The 23599-nt window shown below is 47.2% G+C and overlaps 1 pseudogene, besides 2 other annotated features; it reads right to left on the bottom strand.

Moving 5' to 3' along the window:
* Positions 586 to 1087: an enhancer, noted in NCBI's record as "H3K4me1 hESC enhancer chr17:15320989-15321490 (GRCh37/hg19 assembly coordinates)". NCBI's record gives its function as "activates a minimal SCP1, AML or CMV promoter by ChIP-STARR-seq in naive H9 embryonic stem cells {active_cell/tissue: H9 hESC(naive)}" and the evidence as "EXISTENCE:reporter gene assay evidence [ECO:0000049][PMID:30033119]".
* Positions 8497 to 8997: an enhancer, noted in NCBI's record as "H3K4me1 hESC enhancer chr17:15313079-15313579 (GRCh37/hg19 assembly coordinates)". NCBI's record gives its function as "activates a minimal SCP1, AML or CMV promoter by ChIP-STARR-seq in naive H9 embryonic stem cells {active_cell/tissue: H9 hESC(naive)}" and the evidence as "EXISTENCE:reporter gene assay evidence [ECO:0000049][PMID:30033119]".
* Positions 10071 to 10375, bottom strand: RN7SL792P (RNA, 7SL, cytoplasmic 792, pseudogene; annotated as a pseudogene).

The following is a 23599-nucleotide window of genomic DNA, read 5'->3' as shown; positions in this document are numbered from 1 at the left end:
GTGTACCCCTGCCCTGGGCAGTTTGGCAAGGATGCCGTCTGTGGCCTCAGGAGAGACCATCTTTGAGAGTGTGTGAAGAGCTTGGGGAGCAGAACCCAGCTCCTCAGAGAAGCAGCTACAAGACAGCCTGAAATGTACCCACCCTGACCTGGGTGAGCCACAGGAGTTGTCTGTTGGATGCCTCTGCTATCCTCCCCTGAGCGTCTATTGCTGCAGAATCACTCAAACTTCAGGGTAGAAAGGTGCCCACAGCTTGGTACTTATAAGCCAAGATGAGCACCTCCATCCTCACACACATACCAGCGAACACAGCTGGGCATCTTCTCCTTCCTTTCTCAGAGACCACGCTAATGTGTGCCTGCAATGGAGAAGGGCAGGTGAGGGGAACTGGAAGGTTCTGTTTTGAGTGAATGAGTTATGTGTACTGTCCAGGTGGAAAGGAAGTCACCTGCTTTCAGCTCAGTGCACCCTTAGCATCCTCCCTGCAGTTCAGTGTCAACCACAGCTCACAGGTGGTTTTGCAGGACCTGCTGTAGGGGTGGGGCAGGTGGGGCAGACACCCCTGTAGGAGGCCTCGCCTGTGGGATGTCCTAATGGGCGCTGCTGCTAAACCACACCTGCCTCCTGTTTTGCTGCCCCAGGGCTCTAGCTCTGGCCATTTGAGGTCACTCCTGCCTTGCCCTCTGTGTCTCTCTTTTTAAATGCTCTCCTCTGTCACAAAAGGTCCCCTTTGTTGCTTCTGTCTTCCCAGAGCACTCCACTTTGTCATCCTCAGGGAGGACTGGGAAATTGGGGGGCAGGGTCAAAAGATGAATTGTGACGTGGCCCTCCCTAGGAGGCCAGAAGACCACGCACAATGTTCCAAGCTCTAGCCACACACATGCTTACCAAGGAGGGGCTCTTGTCGGCTGTGGGAGGGGCATCTGCTTCCCATGGCTGATGAGAAGATTCAATGCAGGCAGTAATAATGGCAATTCTGGTTGTTTCTGTTTATTGAATGCTCACTATCTGCCAGGCACTGCTCTCAACCAGTTAGTGTGTATGACTTCAATCAATCGTCACAAAACCTGTAAGCACCTATTTTTATTTTCCCTATTGTTATAGATAAATCATAGTGAAGTGCTAGGATTCAATGAGCCTGAAAGGGTGCCTATCTCGTAGTAAAATCTCAGTAAAGGTGGTGGCTGTGGCAGCCACTTGTCTTGGCTCATGGAGCCAACTAGGTAAGTCTCTTTCCAACTCTGTGTGTGTACGGTGACATTGCATTGGTAGCTTAAAATTGGCCATGGTGGGAGAATTTACACTACAGGAACTGGCAAGAGCTACAAGCTTCTTTTCTTTTTTTCTGAAGAGACCACTTCACCACCATGACTACTAATATTATACTTCTACTGACGTAGGAATAATCTTGGAATTGGTTCCTATTAAAATCAATACACTAAAAGAGAAGATCCTTCCCAAATTTCTTTTTTTTTGAGATGGGGTCTCGCTCCGTCGCCCAGGCCAGACTGTAGTGGCGCTATCTCGGCTCACTGCAAGCTCCGCCTCCCAGGTTCACGCCATTCTTCTGCATCAGCCTCCCAAGTAGCTGGGACTACGGGTGCCCGCCACTACGCCCGGCTAATTTTTTTGTATTTTTAGTAGAGACGGGGTTTCACCGTGTTAGCCAGGATGGTCTCGATCTCCTGACCTCGTGATCCGCCCGCCTCGGCCTCCCAAAGTGCTGGGATTACAGGCGTGAGCCACCGCTCCCAGACCCCAAATTTCTTTAATGGTGGAAACATGGTTCTTTGCACCCTTCTGTCACTATATTACTAATAAAATCCAATGAGAGTCTGGGCGCAGTGGCTCACGCCTGTAATCCCAGCAGTTTGGGAGGCCGAGGTGGGTGGATGACTTGAGATCAGGAGTTTGAGACCAGCCTGGCCTGCATGATGAAACTCCGTCTCTACTAAAAATACAAAAATTAGCCAGGCATGGTGACGTGCACCTCTAATCCCAGACACTTGGGAGGCTGAGGCACGAGAATCACTTGAACCCAGGAGGTGGAGGTTACAGTGAGCCAAAGCTGTGCCACTGCACTCCAGCCTGGGCAACAGAGCAAGACTCCGTCTCAAAAAAAAAAAAAATGCAATCAGGGAAGAGTTTTACTGTAATGGACTTCAACTGTGGGAGTCTTAGAGGGGGCCTATAATTAGGTGCAAATAACCCTGAAAACCCCCAGGTACAGCTTGGAACGCCACATATAATTTGTCATCACTAGGTAAGTTGGGTGTCACTGTGGCTGCCATAGCATTTTTCCTGAAAGCAAAGATGCTGTCCAATAATCCGATCATTTGAGGCAGACTGTGGAAAGAGTTCATTCCAACTCCAGGAGAGGCTGGGGAGGGAGAGGCAGCTGGACAGAAGAGATTTAGTGTGGGATAACGTGGAGCTCCTTGGATCCTGGTTCCAGTCCCATGTTGACCTGCCTGCGGGGACTCAGGAAAGTCACTTGTGATCTCTGCTTTTTTCCACAAATCAAGGGATTTGATGTAGAAAGAGCTGCAGAAGGCATCTCATCCATCATTGGCATACACAAGTGATTTGGTCACAGAATGCCCTGAAGACTATAAAGCATTGAACAGAAGCAGTCACCGTGATTTTCATGGTAAGATTTTTTTCTTATTTTTGCGTCAAGCCAAGATGCCTGTTGTAAGGAAAGAACGGTGGCTTGGTGTCTGTGTGGAATGGATAACAAGCAGAGGTGGGAGAAATGGATCTTGTGTATGTCTTGCTTGTCCAGCAACCTAATGCTTCCTGAGGACCTGTACTTACTGCGTCGGACTTCTGGGCTGCCTCCATATCCTGCACATACTCCTCCTGCTTCTTTGTAATTGTTCATTATTGTTTCTCTGTGCCCCTATATATAAGATTTGGGGGAGCAGGGCTCAAATTGTGTATTCATTTCTTCATTCGACAAACATTCATTGAAACCTACATGTCCTTCAAAGAATATCAGAGGTGGATGAAACAAAATTCTTCTTTATTAGGGGCTTGCTGGAGGGAGGACGGCAGAGAGGAAACCAGTGGAAAATAGCACAAAGCAGCATGTAATGGAGAACTTGCTAACAAGGTGTGGACTGCAAGTGTCTTAGAAGTTGTGAAAAAGAGGGATCCGTAGGGGACAAGGGAGTTGAACGACAAAGTCAGGGAATGTTGGGGTTGAAGGTGGAACTGACATGGATAATATGACTTTACTGGGAAAAGCTCACTAGAGACACAGCCCCTATGCTCATGGGAACCGTCACTTCTGATGCACCTGGAATAGTAAAAGGGGACCTGCAGGCCATGAGAGAAATAGAAGGATGTGAGTGAGATTAGAAATCCCCAAAACAAGGTGAGCAGCACGTGGAAACAGAGCACAATGCACTTAGAGGCTGAGCTGAGCTGAGGGATGCGGTGCCCACAGCCCCTGCCTAGGCTTAGGTTACCATAGGCCAGGGCTGAATAAGGGAGCAGACTATTGAGGGCACTGTGTGCTTTGCTCTGACCCTTTGGAATGGGCTGGCTGCCTTGGGAGGCACATGCCGTGCCCTGAGGAGCAGCGTGTGTTCAGAGTGACTGCCAGCAGCTGACTGCTCAGTTACGCCACTTGAGATGCAACCTGAGGCCCTGGAATCCCCGTGCTTGGAGCCCTGTGCCTGCTGGCTGAGCCAGACACACAGAGCGTCATTCCTCAGCCTTCACACTCCCCAAAGCTGGCAGCAAGCTCTAAAAGCCAGACGCCTCTCAATGGGCGCCCAGGTAGTCCAAGCACCTCCCCACATGGTAGTGAGTATCCTGTCCTAAAAGCAACTCAAAAAAGCCATTTGGTGGGTGTGTCCTAGAGGGGCTTCCAGCATCAGATCCGTGAAGGGTTTAACGGCTAGGAAGGTTGCTTCTAATGCTGAAATTCAATCCTTCTGCGAAAGTGCATTTGTGATGGCTAGAGGTATTTATAGACCAATAATCCATAGAGTCCTGTGAGGCAGTGGAGGTGAATTTGCTCCAGAGGCCGCCTCTAGCTTCTGCACTGGACTCTACCTCACCTTGGTGCTCCTTGGTGCTACAGTGCACTTTTAGGATAGCACTTTCCACGTGACGTTCAGTCATCTGTTCATGAGACTCTCTCCTGCAAATACACCAAAGCCCCTTAAGGGCAAAGACGGTTTTTTTTTTTTTTTCCCTCTCACTTTTGTACTCCCAGCTCTTACCACCGTTCTTTGAATATAGGAGTTCTCCACTAATGATTCGGGAACAGAATCAAACCAGGCCAGGGGCCAAGCAGCCACCAAAGACTGTCCTTCTGGCCACTCTGCTCACTGCCCCCATGTCAAAATATAAGAATTTTAATCCCCCAGGAGGGGAGCGTCAGGAAAATAACCCCGTGATCTGCTTTCTTGGGAAGCATAGCCTTGAAGCAGGAACACGGAGCTTTCGGGAAGATGCACGGCCCTGCTAGCTCAGATCTTCCTTCTCCAAGAGGTGGTTTCCCACAGAGACAGCCAGATCTGTGGGACATTTAGACCCTCATGGCCTCTTTCAGGAAGGAGCTGGTTCTCTTACTTGGCTTCATTTTGAAATGCTAATTTGGTACACACAGGACTCTGCCAGAGCATCCAAGCCAGAGTTCGATCTGCTTCAGAGCACTTCTTGTTTTCAATGGCTGGAACATCCTCTCTGGAGATGACACCCCTCTTAGGTTAAAGTGTGTTCCTTATTGTGTTGAAGATGATCTTTCTCATTAGGAATGAACTATAGACACACATGTCCACCTTCAAGCAGCAGTTACGACCTTGAAATCACGGGTATGTTGAGTATCTGTACTGTATAGTTGAGTACCTGTGTAAATGAGTTTTCCATGTATATAATCTTATAAAAATATATGCATGGAAAACTAATTAGCTAAACCAGTGGAATTAATGTATATATTCTTGTATGCATGCATGCATTTATTTTTTGTAATCATGGAGATCTTTTACCAAATAAAATCCTGTGTGGGAGCTTGTTGTACCAAACAAGTGATAGATGACGTCTCTGCTCCAAGCCAGGGTGAGCTGGAGAGGAAAGAGCGGGGTGCTTCTGGCATCTGCTCCAATCCTTTCTCCTTTTTCCCTGGAGTTGGCCACAGGAGCCTGTGCGGGAAATCCAAGCATGCCCTGGGGCCTCTGAATGAAAACCACTAGTTTTAAGAAGCCCTACAATTATGAATCCTTTAAGACATGATTTAAAATGTTTTTCAAATGTAAATTGCTATTCTCATGAACCACATTCCCCTCAGTATTTCACTCCAGTAACTTGGGTTTTAATGCAAATCTTTTGCTGCACCTAAATGGCTAGAAGACATGGGAGCTCCTTCATCCGGATCAAAGCAGCATGTCCTTCCATGATAATGCAGTCCCTCCTCTCAACTTTCCTCAGGCCGAACCTCTCTGTGCCCCTTTGTCCAGCTGTCCATCTCCGCCCCACCCTTCAGCTAAGTGACTCTGCATGGCCTGAATGTACCTTTCATTCCTCAGTCTCTCCAGCTACAGACCGTTCCCTCAGAATCTGTAGCAGAGAACCCACGCTTTAAGGAGCAGATGTGTCCCCATGAGGGTTGGAGGAGTCCCCTAAGAAAATGAGTCCACGGCCCAATTCTGTCCAAGGGCAGGACGGGGCAGGAGCAGGAAGCTGTCTGCAGGACCATACACAGCGTCCTGGCCCACTTGTGGCCCTCCAGGGAAGCAGATTTAAAGCAACATCAGCTTCAAGGAAGGGGTTTGAACCCACCCATGAGTCTCTGCTCCCTCCTCAATCCCTACTGAATTCAGCAGAGAAACAGAAGCCTAGGACAAAACTCTGTGCTGGCTGAAAACAGGGAAGGGTGAAATCACCAAGCCTGAGTTCTGGGGAATTTCTGCAAATTCCTCAGATGAGGGCAGAATGGCCTGGACAGCTGCAAAGTGAGCACGTGTGAAAGAAAAGGGAGGGGCCCCCAGAGTGACCGCCAGTCACTCTGGGGCTGGCACCAAGGGTGTGCGCCGGCCATGGGGCTGTCAGTGCGCATGGTGGTGGAATTGTGTCTCCTCCACCCCAGATTGGCACGTGGAAGTCCGAACCCCCAGTACCTCAGAAGGTGACTTCATTTGGAGATAGGGTCTCTATAAATGTGATCAAGTTAAAGTGAGGTCATTGGGGTGGGCCTTAATCCAGTGTGACTGGTTTCAAACAAAGGGGAAATTTGGACACAGAGACAGACATACAGGGAGAAGGCCATGCCGTGATGAAGATGGATCCATACGCCCGGACAGGGGCCCGGAACAGCTCCTTCCCACAGTCCTTAGAAAGGACCTGCCCTGCCAGCATCTTGATCTTGGACTTCCAGCCTCCAGAATTGTGACACAGCCAATTTCTGTTGTTAAAGCCAGCCAGCTTGTGTCAGTTTTACAGCAGCCTTAGGAAACTAATCCAGATGGGTACCCTGGACCGGCACCCAGGATGCCAGTGACGTGGAAATACTGTTGCTGGGGCTCACGATGAGATGGTGGAGTCCCTGGAAAGGGGCTGCAGAAAACCAGTGAAGAACGACATTGCTCTTGAGGGCTGGGCCTCTGGTTTTTGTCTCCGGGGATGGATTAGTTGAGATGAGATTTTCAGCTGAAGCAAGAAGGCCCAGATTTAGTAGAATCACACTGGATTAGGGCCCATCCCAATGGCCCATCTGACTGCCCTTCACTGCTCAGCAAAGACAGGGTGGGGCTGTCTCCTGATCTTGCCAGATGAGGTGGAGTCCTAGGGAGTTCTCAGCTGACTGGATTTCCAATTTTGCAAAACAAAATTTCAGATCCAACTAAATTTGGGCCTTCTTGCTTCAGCTGTAAGTCTCATCTCAGCTAATCCATCCCCAGAGGTACAAACCAGAGCCCCAACCCTCAAGAGCAATGCCTGTCTTCACTGAAGGTTTTCTGGAGGAGGAGGCAAAGTGCGTGCTCTGCTACAGTTTCTTTTGATGAATGAGGTCTCCACTTCTTCCACTTCCCTTCTCTCCTCCTGCTCCAAAGGCCACAAGACAGAGCAATTGCTCAATGCCTTCTCTCTCTCTCTCTCTCCTCTCTACTTCTTTTCCCCCCTAAAATCCCAGCTGCACCTCTTCTGCCCTACTTTCCCTCCCCTTCTCTGTTCCAGCTCTGTCCACTTCCTTCCCCATTTTGTGTATTTCCCCCGTTTTTGCTAGCGTTATGCTCTTCCGTATGCAGATCAATTTAGCTTCTCTTTGCTTTTTCTAGTCTCTTCTGCAGCCTTTGTTTCAGTAAGAACAACAAAGGCAGCGCCAGGAATCAGCTGGACCAGACTAGAGAAGATTCCTTCCTCATTTTAAGGAGGAGGTTGCAAAGGCATCATTTTAAAAATATAAAATTATATTTATGTATGTATGTTTTTTAGTCCCGGTCACATAGGAAAAATATAAACTTTACCTTTTCTCTTTGTTTAGGCCTAAAATGTTCCTGTACAGAAGGCTTTAGTCTCAGAAAAAACTTTGAGTTCCCCAACCAGAAACATATAAACCTCTTTATTTTTATTTATTTATATTATTTTAGACAATATTTCGCTCTGTCACCCAGGCTGGAGTGCAGTGGCGTGATCACGGCTCACAGCAGCCTCGACCTCCCAAGCTCAAGTGATCTTCCCACCCTAGCCTCCCGAGTAGCTGTGACTACAGGCATGCACCACCATGTGCAGCTATTTTTTTTTTTTTTTTGGTCGAGACGGGGTCTTGATGTGTTGACCAGGGTGGTCTCGAACTCAAGTGATCCTCCTGCCTCAGCCTCCCAAAAGTGCTAGGATTACAGGCATGAGCCACTCCACCCAGCCGTAAACCTCTTTAAATGGCTACCAAACTTAACTACCATCTTCTCTCAATGCCACTGTTTCCTTTACAACATTTTCCGTTTTTGATTTAACATATAATATGTGTTTCCTTTAGAAAAAATGCACAGAGAAGCTAAAAGAAAAGAAAATTAATTCCACTACTTAGAGATCATCACTGCTAACACCTTGGTATATATCCTTTTAGATTTTGTTTTATTGAAATATACACATGAATATATATTAATCTGCCCAAGAATATATATTTATAAAAGTGGGATTAAACACATACTATTTACATATTTATGAAAATGGAATGAAATACATACTCCTTCATAAGCCCTGCCGTCTTTCCACATCAACACATTTATTTAAAGCATCATTTTCAGTGGCTGCCCAAGTCATGGTGGAGGATCAGAGGCAAATCCTCTTCTTGATGAGGATGAGGAGTGAGGATAGGAGAAGGAATTAGAATCCGTGGCATTGCCAAGCCTGGATGCGCAGGTGCTCATGAAATAATTGTTGATGGATTAAGCAAAACATTAAAGGAAGATTTCTCAAAGAGGACAGCTAATTTATTCGGGATGAATTATAACTTTTTTAATAGAAGGATTTTAGATCGTGGGAGAGTTGGCCTGAACTGCCTTGAAGCATAATATTTCCCAGCAACTCTGCTCACTCAGGCATGCAGACTCATTTTAAATTTGAGTTTAAAAGTCCTACATCTAACGGCCAGCTGCCAGAACTCACTAATGAGGGTGTCCGTGAATCTGGAGGGCCTCTTCACGGAGATGGCATTTGGGTGAAACTCTCAGGCTTGTTCTACGGATTCAAGATATTCACTAAATCTGGACATACTTGAGGAACCACCCACACTTTAGGGAACTTTTTAAACCAAACTTTCTGGGATTTATGCATCACCACACAAAAATTTCCCATGACTTACATGACCAAGAGGGAAAACAATGCTGGTTTTCATAAACACTCAAATCTCTTGGCTCAGGACACAGTGGCTGAGGAGACACCATGAACTGAGCAGAATCATACGGGCAGCCACACGTTCTCAGCTGCGGTCGGGTGCAGAGGCACCGGCGCTGCCGTCTGGCACAGGTCTGCGGGATGGCCGTGGCGGTGCATCAGAGCAGGGTGGTAGAGGTGCTGTGTGTCTTAGTAAATGGCCTGGGGCTGGAAATTATTGCTGAGATAGCTGGCGTTTTTAATGCGTATTCCAGGCAGTCTGGGGGCTTCCGGCCAACCTATGTGAACTTAAGGGAAACAAAATCATTCTCTTTTGAAATGCCTCCATTACCAAAAACGGACTCTTGTTATCTTGAACTCAGTCATGATCAGATGACGGAAAAATCTCAGCCTGGCAGTTCCCTTCTCCTAACTACTGTCTCAGAGATTCTCAATGGAAGCATCATGAAGTTATCTCCTTTCGGTGGCCAACTGCTTGGAGTGCAGATAGGTTCCCTGCCCTGCCCTACGCAGGGGGTTCTTCATGCCCTTCCCATGAATTAGGAAAACTGGGGCTATTTCAATGGTACAACAGGGTTGGTCTATAAAAACCCCTTTCGTTTGCCAAAACAAACAAACAAACAAACAAACAAAAAAAACCTTTGTATCTCTGGTGATACGGTATAGAAGAATATGTCCCCAAAAGCCCACCGCATCTCGCACCCTAAGTAGATTCGATTTGCTGACCCTGGGATCTGTCCTTGCCTTCTCCATCCCCTTTCAGCCCTAGGCATTCATGCCTCCTTCTAGCGCTTTCACTTCCCTAACCCCTACATTTACCAACAATTTTGATCAAAGCTAACTTTGTAATCACAGGTTAATTTCACCTTTGGGTGGCACAAGAGCTCCACCTGGGTACTCAGTGTGCTGGGGATGACTGGGGTGCAGCACAGGCACCAGGCACCAACCTGGCCCCCACCTTCCCCGGCACCCAGCACCTCACCAAGGACCACTCTCTGCTCCTGCTTCCCTTACAGGTTATTTACCCAGGTGCTGGAAGTCTGGTTCCTTCTAATGGGCTCCATAGCTTTTTGGTTCACCTCCTTGAACAGGGTGAACTGTAAAAGAGAGGCACCGATCTTTAGGTCAAAAGGCTCTGACTTTTTTTTAATTTTTAGATTTAAAAAATTGTGGTAAAATACACATGACATAAAATTTACCATTTTAAACATTTTTATTTTTTTAGAGATGAGGTCTTGCTATGTTGCCCTGGGCGGAATGCAGTGGTATTTACAGATGCATCCCCAGTACTGATCAGCATGGGAGACTTGACCTGCTCCGTTTCCGACTTGGGCGGGTTCACCCCTCCTTAGGCAACCTGGTAGTCCCCTGCTCCCAAGAGGTCACCATATTGATGTGGAATTTAGTGCGGACACCCAATTGGCATAGCCCAGAACTATAGCCTAGATATCCTGGGCTCAAGCGATCCTCCCACCTCAGCCTCCTGAATAGCTGGGACCACAGCTAGGTGTGTGCCACCTTACCTGGCCATCTTAATTATTAAGTACATTCATATTGTTGTGCAACCGTCACTGCCACCCAGCCATAGAACTCTTTTTATCCTCCCAAACTGAAACACCAGAGCTCCTAAACAATTCTCCACTCCCCTCTCCCCCAGGCCCTGGCAACCACCATCCTACTTTCTCTACGAGTTTGGCTACTCAGTATGTGTCATATGAGTGGGATCATATAGCATTTGTCCTTTTGGGTCTGGGTTATTTCACTTAACATAGTGTCCTCAAGGTTCATCCAGGTTGTAGTGGATGTCAGAATTTCCTTCCTTTTTTTTTTCTTTTGAGACAGAGTCTCATTCTGTTTCCCAGGCTGGAGTGCAGTGTGGGATCTCGGCTCACTGCAAACTCCACCTCCTGAGTTCAAGCAATTTTCCTGTCTCAGCCTCCTGAGTAGCTGGAATTCAGGCTTGCACCACCATGCCCGGCTAATTTTTGTATTTTTAGTAGAGACGGGGTTTCACCATGTTGGCCAGGCTGGTCTCAAACTCTTGACCTCAGGTGATCCGCCTGCCTCGGCCTCCCAAAGTGCTGGGATTACAGGTGTGAGCCGCCATGCCCGGCAGAATTTCCTTCCTTTTTAAGGCTGAATAAGATTCCATTGCATGAATATGCCACATTTTGTTTATCCACTCATTGTTGATGAACACTTAGGGTATTCCACCTTTTGGCTATTGCGAATAATGGTGGTATGAATATGGGTGTTCAAATATGGACCTAAACTATGAGATCATTGTAGATTCACATGCAGTTATAGGAAATAATATAGGGGAGTGTGTGTGTGTACATGTATTTAGTTCTGTGCAATTTTATACTTGTGTAGGGTCATATGGCCATCACCAAAATCAAGATACAGAGCAAGGATCCTTTGTGTTGACAAGGCCCCCAAATTCAGCCCTAAATTTTAGCTTCCATTTCTAAAGGGCGAGAAGCAATAAACAGCTCAGCCCCTCCTTTGGAGCATCGTGTTCTAGGTTTTCTGGGGCATACCACAGTGGTAGCAGTGGAGAGACCTGGGCCTAGGCTGATGGCTTCTCGTTCCATGGTTTAAACTGGGGCAATGAATTCAGCTGCACATTCAGGGCAGTGAATGGAGCAGGGGATGGGGGTGTGGCCTCTCATGTCCAACAGCATCCCCAGCCAGTCCTCCCACTTCACATCCCATGTCCTGGATAGTGACCACCAGGCTCATGCCATCCGTCCCCACACTGCTAGCCAAATCTCAGCCAATGCCATCAGAATTGCACCCCAAAATGAAATGCTTCCACTAGAACAGTGCGGTCTGATGAGAATAAAACGTGAACCACATAGGTAATTTTAAAATAGTTTCCTTAAAATTAAAAATAGGTAAAAGTAATTTTAATAATCCGTTGTGTTTAATCCAATACATAAAAAATATCATTTCGACCTATAATCAACAGAAATATTTTCAGTGAGGAATTTTAAATTTTTATATCCTTTTTCCCCCTCCATACTATGTCTGATATCTGGTGCATATTTTGCACTTACACCAACCATGTCTCCGTTTGGTCGAGTCACACACTTCAGGGACTCAATAGCCCACATGGGTTGGTCAGCATAGTTGCAGATTCAAGCTCTGCACAATCAAACTGGGACCACCTGTTGTCCCAGGAACTTCTTAACTCCTCTGATGGCAGCATCTGCCTTGATCAGCACTCAGGTAAGCCGCGCCATGGACCAGCTGGTGGTGGGGAAAAGGCCAACTTTGCTTTTAGGGGTTTGTTATTGTGGGAACCCGCTGCTTATCAGCAGCTCTAGGTGGTCCACCTGCTTTGTGGCGCCAACATGGGAACTTGTTTGGAGGGTCAGAGAAGAAGCACTTGGCCCTCAAAGCGTGTTGACACCTTTGAGGAGGGCGGACGCCAAGTCAGCAGGCAGCAGCTTGTAGGAGAATTAAAATAGAATTCTGAACTTTTGGATAGAAGTGGATTTCTGGCACTTGGCATAGTTCCAGAATGAACTCCGGAGGTTGGAGTAGTTTCCTGGATCCAGGGGGCTTGGGAATTCCATATGAGTCATCTGGGCTGACCTCATAAGTGCCCCAGGGTGAGGGGCAGTCTTCTGTCCCCCCAGGCACTTCTGTTCAAGTATTCTGCCCAGGAGTTGGCATGGCCACCCACGTCCAGCCACCTCAAGAGATAGATAGAATACCAGCAGCCCACAGGCGTCCCTTGTCAGCAAAAAGCACCCTGGAAATGGGTGGCTGGATAAAAGGTCCTCTGTCTGTTGTTGGCTGGGACAGCGTCTACCACAGCCTACACTTTGATTATGGGAATATTTCCCTATATGCTTAATGCTCCTGAGAGAAGTGCACATTTTCTGCTAAATGTGTGGCTTCATGGGCTTGCAATTGATGGCTTTCCTTGGAGAGGCCTTCATGCTTCTATTTGGAGTCTGACTCCTACCTTTCCACCCTCAGCCTGGCTAGGCCTGAGCAGGTACAGAAAGTGATCCGACCTAGTGAATGGGAAGGTGTACACAGACAGAATCTGTATATTTTGCATATACTGCATTCAACAGAATACAGTCATGCATCGTGACATTTTCATTAATGATGGACCACATAACAACGGTGGTCCGGTAAGATGATAAGGGATCTATACCATCTAAGTTTGTGTGCGTACACTCTACGGTGTTTGCACAACAATGAAATCATCTAATGACGTATTTTTTAGAACATGTCCCTGGTGTGTCTGTAAATTAAGGCCAATTTCATCTGTTTCTTTTTATCTTTTTAATGTGGCTCCTTGAAGGCTTAAAACTGCACACATGGCTTGTGTTGTATTTGTGTTAGGCAACACTTTTCCAGTGGACGTGAAATGTTATGATACACTGGGCTGGGAGTCACTGCATCCGAGTTCCAGTGTCATCTGTCGCACTAACAAACCTGGAAAACTTTGAGTAAATCTCTTCTCTGGGCCTCCGTTTCCTCATCTGCAGAACAGGAGAGTTGAACTAGATAATATCCAACCTACCGGCAACTTTCGACTTTTCTGCTACCCAGATAATGGGTAAGTTAGAAAGAAATGACAGTTGGCACAGCCAGTCTCCATTCCTGCAGAAAGACAGGGCACGTGCTCACACTGTCTGATCAAAGGTTAAACAGCATGGCACTGCTAAATGGAGGAGCACAGAGGGCAGTCTTTGATTTATTCATTAGCCACTGCCCACTGAATTCCCTAAAGACTACTCTCTCTTTGGCAACCTGGGCTCCTGAGTCTCCTTACATACCCATGCCCAGGAGGTGCGATGGGCCGAGGGGCTGGGCTGAGAAATCCTCCGTCCCCGCGGCCAGCTCGTAAATGCAGGGCCCTGTTTCTCAGAAATCAATTTCGGGGCAAGCGGGGCAAGGCATTAACTGTCTCTTCCAGGAACACTTCACAGAAAGTCTTTTAAGAGCTGGAGAGGAGCGGCTGCGTCTGGGCTCTCGCATTGCTTATGCATGCAAACATTGAAATTAATATTTCAGATGAGCAAATAGAAGAACGCAAATCACTCACTGGCCTCTCCTCTGCATCACAGAAGCCTGCAACTGTTTCTCCTTCCTCAATCCCAATCTCGTTTCTGGCGGCTTTGTCGGGATTCCCTTCCCATCTTGCCACTTCCTTGCTTTACAAACATCTGATGGTTTCTCTTTCCCTGGGAACAGAATCTAGTCTGGTGTTCCAGTTTCCCCTCTGCCATCTCACCCCCATTTTCCTGCCCAGGCCTCCCTCCCCTGGCCCCAGCTCCCCCAGGTGACTTGCTTTTCCTGGACCTTGCCCAGCCCAACCACGAGCCCTGGCTCATGGGGTCCCCTCTGCTGGACAGGACCTTTCTTCCACCAGCAGCCCTGCAGTCTCCTCTGTCTCCGGGTTCCCAGTTTAGGTGACACAGGTTTCCTCTGTAAATAGCTGGCCTTACGGTGCCTCACTCTCTGATCCTTGCTGTCCCTGCTTCATTTTATTAATCCTTCCAACCACCATGCCAGGTGGGGACTCTCACGAGGGAAATAGCAGATCAGGGAGGTTGGAACCCAGCCAGTCCACTCTGGAGCCCACACAAGTAACCCCTGTGCTGACTCGCTTCTCCTGGGGATTTCTGTCTCTTTCTTTGCGTTCCTGCAGCATTTTCTGTGTCTCTGTTGTAGCGCTTGTGTTAGTTTGCCAGAGCTGCCATCCAAAATACCATAGATGGGCGGCTAGAGTATTTTATAAAACAGAAATTTATTTTCTCACAGTGCTGGACACTAGAAGTCCAAGAGTGAGGTGTCAGCAGGTTTTTGAACCATTTTCTGGAAGCCTCTCTCCTTGGCTTGTAGATGGCATCTTCTCCCCGTGTCCTTACATGCTCTGCCCTCTGTGTGTGTCTGTGTCCTAATCTCCTCTTCCTATAGGGACACCAGTCATATTGGATCGGGGCCCACCCATAAGATCTCATCTTAACTTAATTGCCATTTAAAGACCCTGTCTTCAAATACAGTCACATTCTGAGGTATTGGAAGTTAGAGCTTCAACATGAGAATTTGGAGTAGGTGACACACTTCAGCCCATAACAGTACCAATGACAGTTAACTTTAAACTGCAGTGAGTTGGGTGAGTGCCTGTTCCCCTTCTGGCTGATAGAGACTGCATCTGAGTCAGCCCTGTGTTCTTCCCTGGGTTAAGTTCAGCTCAGCACTATTAAGGGGACACCCCCTTTTCTGAGAGTCTGGACCTTATGGGCCAAGATAACCAGGTGGTTATATTTGTATGGTGGGAGGATGGGTTGTGTCTTTTTGCTTACCTGTCTCTGTGTGATTGAACATAGGAATGCAGGAGAGGAGGTTCAGGCTGACACAGCATTCGCTGCTCGGCTTTTAGCTAGAAGAGACATTTCAGGAGGCCTGGGGATCTGGTAGGCTTTGAGCATAGGCCTGAGAATAGGGAGAGGGTGGCTGGGGGCTGAGCTCCAGGCAGAGGTGTGCACCCATGACTCAGGAGTGAAGAGAGGCCCTGGTGGGTTTGTAGGCTGCTACGGTGCCTGAGATATGTGTGTGTGTTGGTACAGGGCAGTGAGGGGCCAGAGAGTAACACCTGAAATCATCAAGTATAGCTGTGGCTAGGTTTGAGATGCTATGGGAGTCAGCCAAAGGCGCTGGGTTTTCTTGAGTACTTATTGTACACAAAGTCCAATTATAGAGACAGTTTGAGGAGCAGGGCAGTGCACTGGCAGTGAGCAGTGCTGAGAAAGGACTGGTGAATTCAAGGTGCTGCTGGCCCCTTCCTCAAGTTTGTGGAGTGCAGTTTCCTGGAAGAGGCATCTTCAGTTCTCACGGTCGCCTTTTTTTAAGTAAAGAAGATAGAGCGAGTCCTGCAGAATTGCTCCTGGGGTTCCCTGTCTTGGTAAATGTCACCACACAGATGCCCAAACCAGAAACAGGACCACCATCCAGCCACCTCCCTAAACCTCATCCCCCTTAGTGAATCCATCACCAAATCCCACTGATTCTCCCCCTCTGAAGATCTGAGAGTCCAGCTCCACTGTATTCCCATGTGCAGGCCACCGTCTTCTCTCCCTGGGACCACTGCTGAGGTCTCGTCTTCCTGCCACGACCTGGACCCCTCTCCCTGCAATTCATTTTGCACTCAGCTATCAGAGACATTTTCCAAAATTTAAATTATGTCCCTATATAGGACTGCCTGGTGGCTCTCCGTTGTTCTCTGGGCTAGGTTCACACTCTTTGTTGACCCTTAAGCCTGTGCGAGCTGCAGCTCCCTCATCTCCCATCATTCCACCACAACCCTCCAGTGGGCCACATGGAACAATGCTGGAATTCTAGGTTCAGCTCCGGCCTCTTGCTGCCTCCTCTGCTTGCCTAAGTCTCACTCATCATTCACAACAGATGCCACCTTTCTTTGGAGTCAGCCTTGATCCCTAGACTGGGATCACATGAGAGGGGCCTTCAAAAAGTTCATGGAAAGTGGGTATGGTGAAAAAACTATGTACGAATTCAAAATTTTTTGGCATCAAAAGAAACTTGCACTAACTTGTTATGATGTGCGTGAACACGATCTAGTTTGAGGCAGTAAGAAGAGTAAGACATCAGTTTGAAAGGAGCCTCCACCAGAGCAACATGAATTCTATTAAAATTGAAACAAAAAAACAAAAAAACAGACAAAAAGAACCCCATTAAATGTATGGTAATGTTTGGGTGGAAAAATGATTAAATCATTGATTTTTTTAATGAAGAGTTTATGGGAACAATGCCCCAAAGCAATCACCAGTTTACAAATGGATAAATTGTTCTAAGAAGGGATGAGATGATGTTGAAGAAGAAGCCCACGGTAGCAGACAATCCACATCAGTTTTCAAAGGAAAAATTAATACCGTTTGCGTCCTAATTGAAGAGGACTGATGAATAACAGCAGAGACGATAGCCAAAGCCAACACCATAGATATCTCAAAGGTTCAGCTTATACAATTATGACTCAAAAATTAAAGTTGAGCAAATTTCCATTTGATGGGTGCCAAAATTGTTGTGCCCAGATCAGCTGAAAACAAGGGCAGAGCTTTCAATGGAAATTTTAAACAGGTGGGATCAAGATCCTGAAGCATTTCTTCAAATACTTATAACAGCAGATAAAACACAGCTTTACTAGAATGATCCTGAAGACAAATTATAATCAGAGCAGTGGCTACCAAGAGGTGGAAGGGGGCCAGTCAAAGCAAAAGCGGACCAGTCAAAGGCAAAGGTCATGGTAACAATATTTTTTGGATGCTGAAGGCATTTTGCTTGTTGACTTTCTGGAGGGCCAAAGAACAATAACATCTGCTAACTATGAGAGTGTTTTGAGAAAGCCAAAGCTTTAGCAGAAATACGCCTGGGAAAGCTTCACCAGAGAGTCCTTTCTACCATGACAATGCTCCTGCTCATTCCTCTCACCAAACAGGGAAATTTCGTGAGGGTTTCGATGGGAAATCATTAGGCATCTACCTTACAGTCCTGATTTGGCTCCTTCTGTCTTTGTTTTTTCATTCCCTAATTAAAAAAAATGTAAAGGGCACCCATTTTTCTTCAGTTAATAATGTAAAAAGACTGCATTGGGGCCGGGTGTGATGGCTTATGCCTGTAATCCCAGCACTTTGGGAGGCCGAGGCAGGTGGATCACCTGAGGTCAAGAGTTTGAGACCAGCCTGGCCAACATGGTGACCCCATCTCTACTAAGAATACAAAAAATTAGCTGGGCATTGTGACGGGCGCCTGTAATCCCAGCTACTTGGGAGGCTGAGGCAGGAGAATGGCTTGAACCCAGGAGGCGGAGGTTGCAGTGAGCCAAGATCATGCCATTGCACTCTAGCCTGGGTGACAGAGTGAGACTCTGTCTCAAAAAAAAAAAAAAAAAAAAAAAAAAGACTACACTAACATGGTTAAATTCTCAAGACCCTCATCTCTTTCTTTCTTTTTTTTTTTTTTTTGAGACGGAGTCTCACTCTGTCACCCAGGCTGGAGTGCAGTGGCGCAATCTCGGCTCACTGCAAGCTCCACCTCCTGGGTTCATGCCATTCTCCTGCCTCAGCCTTCCGAGTAGCTGGGACTACAGGCGCCCGCCACCACGACTGGCTAATTTTTTGTATTTATTTTTTTAGTAGAGATGGGGTTTCACCGTGTTAGCCAGGATGGTCTCGATCTCCTGACCTTGTGATCCGCCCACCTCGGCCTCGCAAAGTGCTGGGATTACAGGCTTGAACCACTGCGCCCGGCCAAGACCCTCATTTCTTTAAGGATGGACTAAATGGCTGGTATCATTGCTTACAAAAGTGTGTTGAACTTGATGGAGGTTATGTTGAGAAATAAAGATTACATTTTTAACATTTATGTTTTAATTCCATTTTTTCCACGAACAGTTTGAAGTCTCCTGGTACTTGTCTCTAGCACCCTGGCATAACACTTGCCACACAGAGGATACCCATTTACCTGGTTGCATCTTCTATAGCTTCTAATCTCCTGTAGTACAGGGCCAAGGCTACTTGCTTTTCTTGAACCCCCAGCATCTAACCACAGAGTTTGCATAGAGAAGGGACTCAATGCATACTTAAGAAATGAGCAAATTGATCATGCACTCCAATGTGAGACCACAGTCACCCTGTTCCTGCTTTCTTGGGTCCGAATTTTGGGATGCTGCCCTCCCTCTAATGGATCTGATTAAATCTGGGGTCTCAGTTCAGGTTATTTATTTATTTATTTATTTATTTATTTATTTATTAGTAGTAGTAGTAGTATTGAGAACAAGTCTCACTCTGTTGCCCAGGCTAGAGTGAGTGCAGTGGCAGGATCTTGGCTCACTGCAACCTTCACCTCCCGGGTTCAAGCAATTCTCATGCCTCAGCCTCCTGAGTAGCTGGGATTACAGGTGCATACCGCTACGCTTGGCTAATTTTTGTGTCTTAGTAGAGATGAGGTTCTACCATGTTGCCCAGGCTGGTGTCGAACTCCTGGGCTCAACTGATCCACCCGTCTCAGCCTCCCAAAGTGCTGGGATTACAGGCATGAGCCAGGAAGTCTGGCCAGTTCTGGTTATTTGAATCAAGGCCCAAACTCTCCACCAATCAAGGCCCATAACTCCAACAATATAGGTAGAAGGAAGGAATAACCCGCCAACCTGGGTCAGTTCTTCCTTGCCTGTCTCTGGGGCACCTGGCGGATTAGAGCACAGTGTATACCGGATGTGTGCATGGGGAAGGGCAGGAGCTCAGAACAGAGCTGGACCTCGGCAGTTCTCCCTAATGTTCAGAAATAGATCCGATACCAGGGTGTCATCAGTCAGTGTAGGCCCAGGGGTATGAAGCTCTTCTTACTGAGTGTCTTAACCCCAAGCATCTTCTGTTTTCTCTGGGGGAAATAAGAACATCAGGCTGAGGGCTGCGTTTGTCTGATTGACACCGTACCTCCATATCCCAACACAGACCCAATGGGAAACGTGTGACACGACAGAGGACGTAGCTCAATGAATGTACTTCATAACTTGCCAAGTGGGAAAGAGTGAAGGGACACCAGTTTCTCTCCCCAGGGCTTTGGCCAGCCCTGGCAGACAGAACAAGACACTGGAGGAAGCTCAGTGACTCACGTGGCCCTGGAATGGCTCACAGTCAACAGAGGCTGCTGAGACATCCGTTAAAAGCCATCTCTGTGTGTGTCTAGAGAGCTGCACTCTGTAGTGGCAGGCACAGTGACCAGGAGTCTATTATACAGCCGGGGAGGGGAGGTACATTCAGGGGAGAGAGAACATGGCAGCAAAGAGCAGACGGTCACTTGGGATTCCCAGTTAAAGAGGCAGCTTGGCCACATGTTTGTGGAACTCTATCAACATTACAGAGAGGGGTTAAGGAACAAAAAGGCAGAAAGCTGCGAGGATACAGAAAAGGAGGGTGGAGTCAGTTGCAGCAGCTTTTTGGAAGGTATAAAGCACATGGACAAATAGCAACTGATTTAGCAGATGTAGAAAGCTCCTTGCTAACCATGAGTGAAGAAAGACAAAAAGCAGGTCCAATTTAGACCACAGAACCCTCTAATGGCCCAGGAATGGCAGCACCATGTGCCCTTAGAAGCAGAGGTCAAAAAAAGGGAACATGCCTTGAAAAACTGTTTAAGAAAATGTTAGAGACCCCCCCCCACCATTTCCTCCTCCATCTGCACAGCCAGGACACTGCCTGTACCCCGTGCTGATAGGAAACCAGACATTATTTTTCCTTCTGGAGATGGTGAAACTGAAGGTCTCTGGGCTGAGCGACACCGGGCACAATGAACCAATTCTCAAATGGCTGTTTTGGAACATTTCCCAGTGGCGGTGAGCTGAGTCCTGCAGGAGATGGTGGCCCTGAATTGATGAAGAGGGAGGAGGTTTTATAATGGGGGAAGTGACTCATGACAAAGCACAGATGCCAGAAAAGACCAGTTGTCTGCGGTGGTTGTTAATGAGATGGGCTTGGCTGGTGCTAATGGAGACAGTGAGAGGTGACAGGAATGAGAGATGAAGGTGAACTGGGATCTGAGGACAGTGATGAGGCTCAGACGGGGGATTGAAGATCTCTGCTGGGTTCCGAAGCAAGAAAGCAAAAGACTGAAGCAGCCTTTGATGAAGACGTTTCTGCACCTGAATGTGTAGATTGGGGTCTGGAGAAGCTGGTAGCAGGGACCCCAGGAAAAAGCCTTTGACTATAACCAAGGGATATGGCAACGAAGGGCTAGGACAGGGGTGGGGTGGTGGTGAGAGCAAGCACACTGGCAAACCCTTCGCCTGGCCATGGCAAGTGCTTGCCCATTCCCGTGACTCTGCTCATTTGCTCTCCAAGGACACTGCTGCTCTTCATAAATGCAAATATTTTTGGCAGGTCAGAACACTAGATTTATGAAAGCAAAATCTCAGTTCTTTGAATTATTGAAGGAATCCTTGCCAAAAAATGAACTTGAATTTAAACAGAAAATACATACGGTCTTAAGAGACTTCTTGATCTGTTATCAGTCTTCAACCAACCACAGAGAACTGAATGTGCTGTTCCCTCACATTCAGAGGGGCAGAGCCTGTCCAGAAAGGCAGGGCGTCACCCTTCCCCCACCCCAGTTATTAGGTCTGCAGCCTCCCCTAGATCCTCTCTGCCCTATCCTCTCCCACCCTTCCTTCAGGCCCGACTGTCTCCTCTCTAACGCTGACCCTGAGTCCCTCAGCCCGAGTCAGCACAAGGCTTACCAGAGCACCTTTTGGCAGGTATTAAGTGCATAAGAAACCCAGTTTTTTTCTTTTTTCTTTCTTTCTTTTTGTTTTCTTTTTCTTTTTTCTTTTTTCTTTTTTTTTTTTTTTTGAGACAGGGTCTCACTGTGTTGTCCAGGCTGGAATGCAGTGGTGCAATCTCAGCTAACTGCAACCTCCATCTCCCGGGTTCAAGCAATTCTCCTGCCTCAGTCTCCTGACCAAGCTGGGATTACAGGCGCCCGCCACCATGCCTGGGTAATTTTTGTATTTTTAGTGGAGTCGGGGTTTCAACATGTTGCCAGGCTGGTCTAGAACTCCTGACTTCACGTGATCCATCCACCTCGGTCTCCCAGAGTGCTGGGATTACAGGAGTGAGCCACTGCGTCTGGCCCCAGTTGTTGTTTTTCATTATCATGGCAAAATCCGTGATGGAACAACCTTTGACTTACCAGGGAAGCTGGACTCAGAGTGGCCTGCATCACAGAGCTAATTGCGTGAGCTCAGTAGGTGGGCAGAGAATGCTATTGACCAATTTTTTTCATCCTTCTTTATTCCAGTTCCAGGACATGGTGTCCAGTCTTGTACCAAAGTTGCTTCTTTTTGCCTAGAGTCTAAAGGATGAAACCAGATAGCCTTCCCTCTTATAACATTGGAAATCACACTGGGCCAGTTTGATCTAGGTGTGAATTTGTCACTTTTCTTCTCCTGACTTTTTTTTTTTAATTGTGGTAAAACACCCACAACATACAATTTATTATAAAATTTACCTAGTCATTTTTTCTTTTTTTTCTTTCTTTCTTTTTTTTTTTTTTTTTTTTTGAGACGGAGTCTTGCTCTGTCACCCAGGCTGGAGTGCAGTGGCGCGATCTTGGCTCACTGCAAGCTCCGCCTCCCGGGTTCACGCCATTCTCCTGCCTTAGCCTCCCAAGTAGCTGGGACTATAGGCGCCTGCCACCACACCTGGCTAATTTTTTTTTGTATTTTTAGTAGAGATGGGGTTTCACTGTGTTAGCCAGGATGCCCTCGATCTCCTGACCTTGTGATCCACCCTCCTCGGCCTCCCAAAGTGCTGGGATAACAGGTGTGAGCCACCATGCCCGGCCTACCCAGTCATTTTTAAGGGTACATTTCAAAAGGCTCTAAGTACCTTCACATTGTCATTCCATTTTCCATTGACTTTTTAAGTCCGTGTTCTCATCCACATTCTTCATGAGCAACCTGCTCTCCTCTTGGCTGAAGAACCTTTGCTTTGGTTACGGTCCTGGAGTCAGTAGGGAGATAGACACCAACCTTGTGAAATGCAACCCTCTCCATGGCCTCCTGACATCTGGTCAGGAGGCTTCTGCTCAAACCCGCCCTTGATGTTCAGCCCTTAGTGAAGGGATCATTTCCCTCCTGGGCCACTCTCATGCTGCTGAACCCTAGCGGCCTCTCTGTATGGGTTGCTCTGCATGGCCTTGCTGTATGGGTCGATGGTCATTGCCCATCCACCCCAGCATGTTCCAAAAGGCTCGTCAAGTATCCAAACGGCCATGCAGTAGCAAAAACCCCACTGGATCTGCTTGGATAATGATAATTTGAGCTCAGATAAGACAGATCCAAGTTTAAATTAAAATATAGATTTATAGCCTGGCTAACATGGTGAAACCCCATCTCTACTAAAAATACAAAATTAGTCGGGTGTGGTGGTGTGTGCCTGTAATCCCAGCTACTCCAGAGGCTGAGGCAGGAGAATCACTTGAACCCGGGAGGCAGAGGTTGCAGTAAACTGAGATCTCACCATTGCACCCCAGCCTGGGCAAAAAGAGAGAAACTCGGTCTCAAAATAAATAAATAAATAAATCTAGATTTAGGTAGCAGAGGTCAAACCGGTTGTTCTGTTCTCTGTGTGTCAGTTTTCTCATCTGTAAAATGGAGCTCATAGCCTCAAGTTGTTGTGGGGCTAAGATGTAACGTCCAAGAAGCAACTAACATCTCTCATGAAACAAGACTCTGGAAACCATTTTTGAAGACAGAACAGGTTTCTGTGCCTGCACACCATCGGTTATCCTTACCTTCCACTTGTATGACAAGGTTTCTGTTGACTTACCTATAATACATCCCCTCACTGTCATCATCTGTACATTCAACTGAGATTCCACGGTTATCTACCCGCATTTCAAAAACTGGTCCGCATTAAGCCTGACTAAATGGTCCGGAGAACTGGCAAATTGGAGACAATAATTATCCATCCATCAAATGTTTATCGTTTATCACACCCTGTATGCACAGCACCAGAGGCTTTGGGTACTGTTTATATAACAGTCTATGATTATTTATGCTACAGCTTATGATTATGTAACCACTTACAAGCCCAAGATGGAATCCAGACATGTCCATGAAAGAGGAATGGGGTGAACCTTGACAAGAGTATTTTCATGAGAGCCTGAAGTGGATCCTGGGAGGGAGCCCATCCTAAGGCATGAGGACCCA

The sequence above is a fragment of the Homo sapiens genome, chromosome 17 (assembly GCF_000001405.40).
Source record: "Homo sapiens chromosome 17, GRCh38.p14 Primary Assembly".
In the NCBI taxonomy this organism is placed as follows: Eukaryota; Metazoa; Chordata; class Mammalia; order Primates; family Hominidae; genus Homo; species Homo sapiens.
This window is presented reverse-complemented; position numbering and strand designations above follow the sequence as displayed.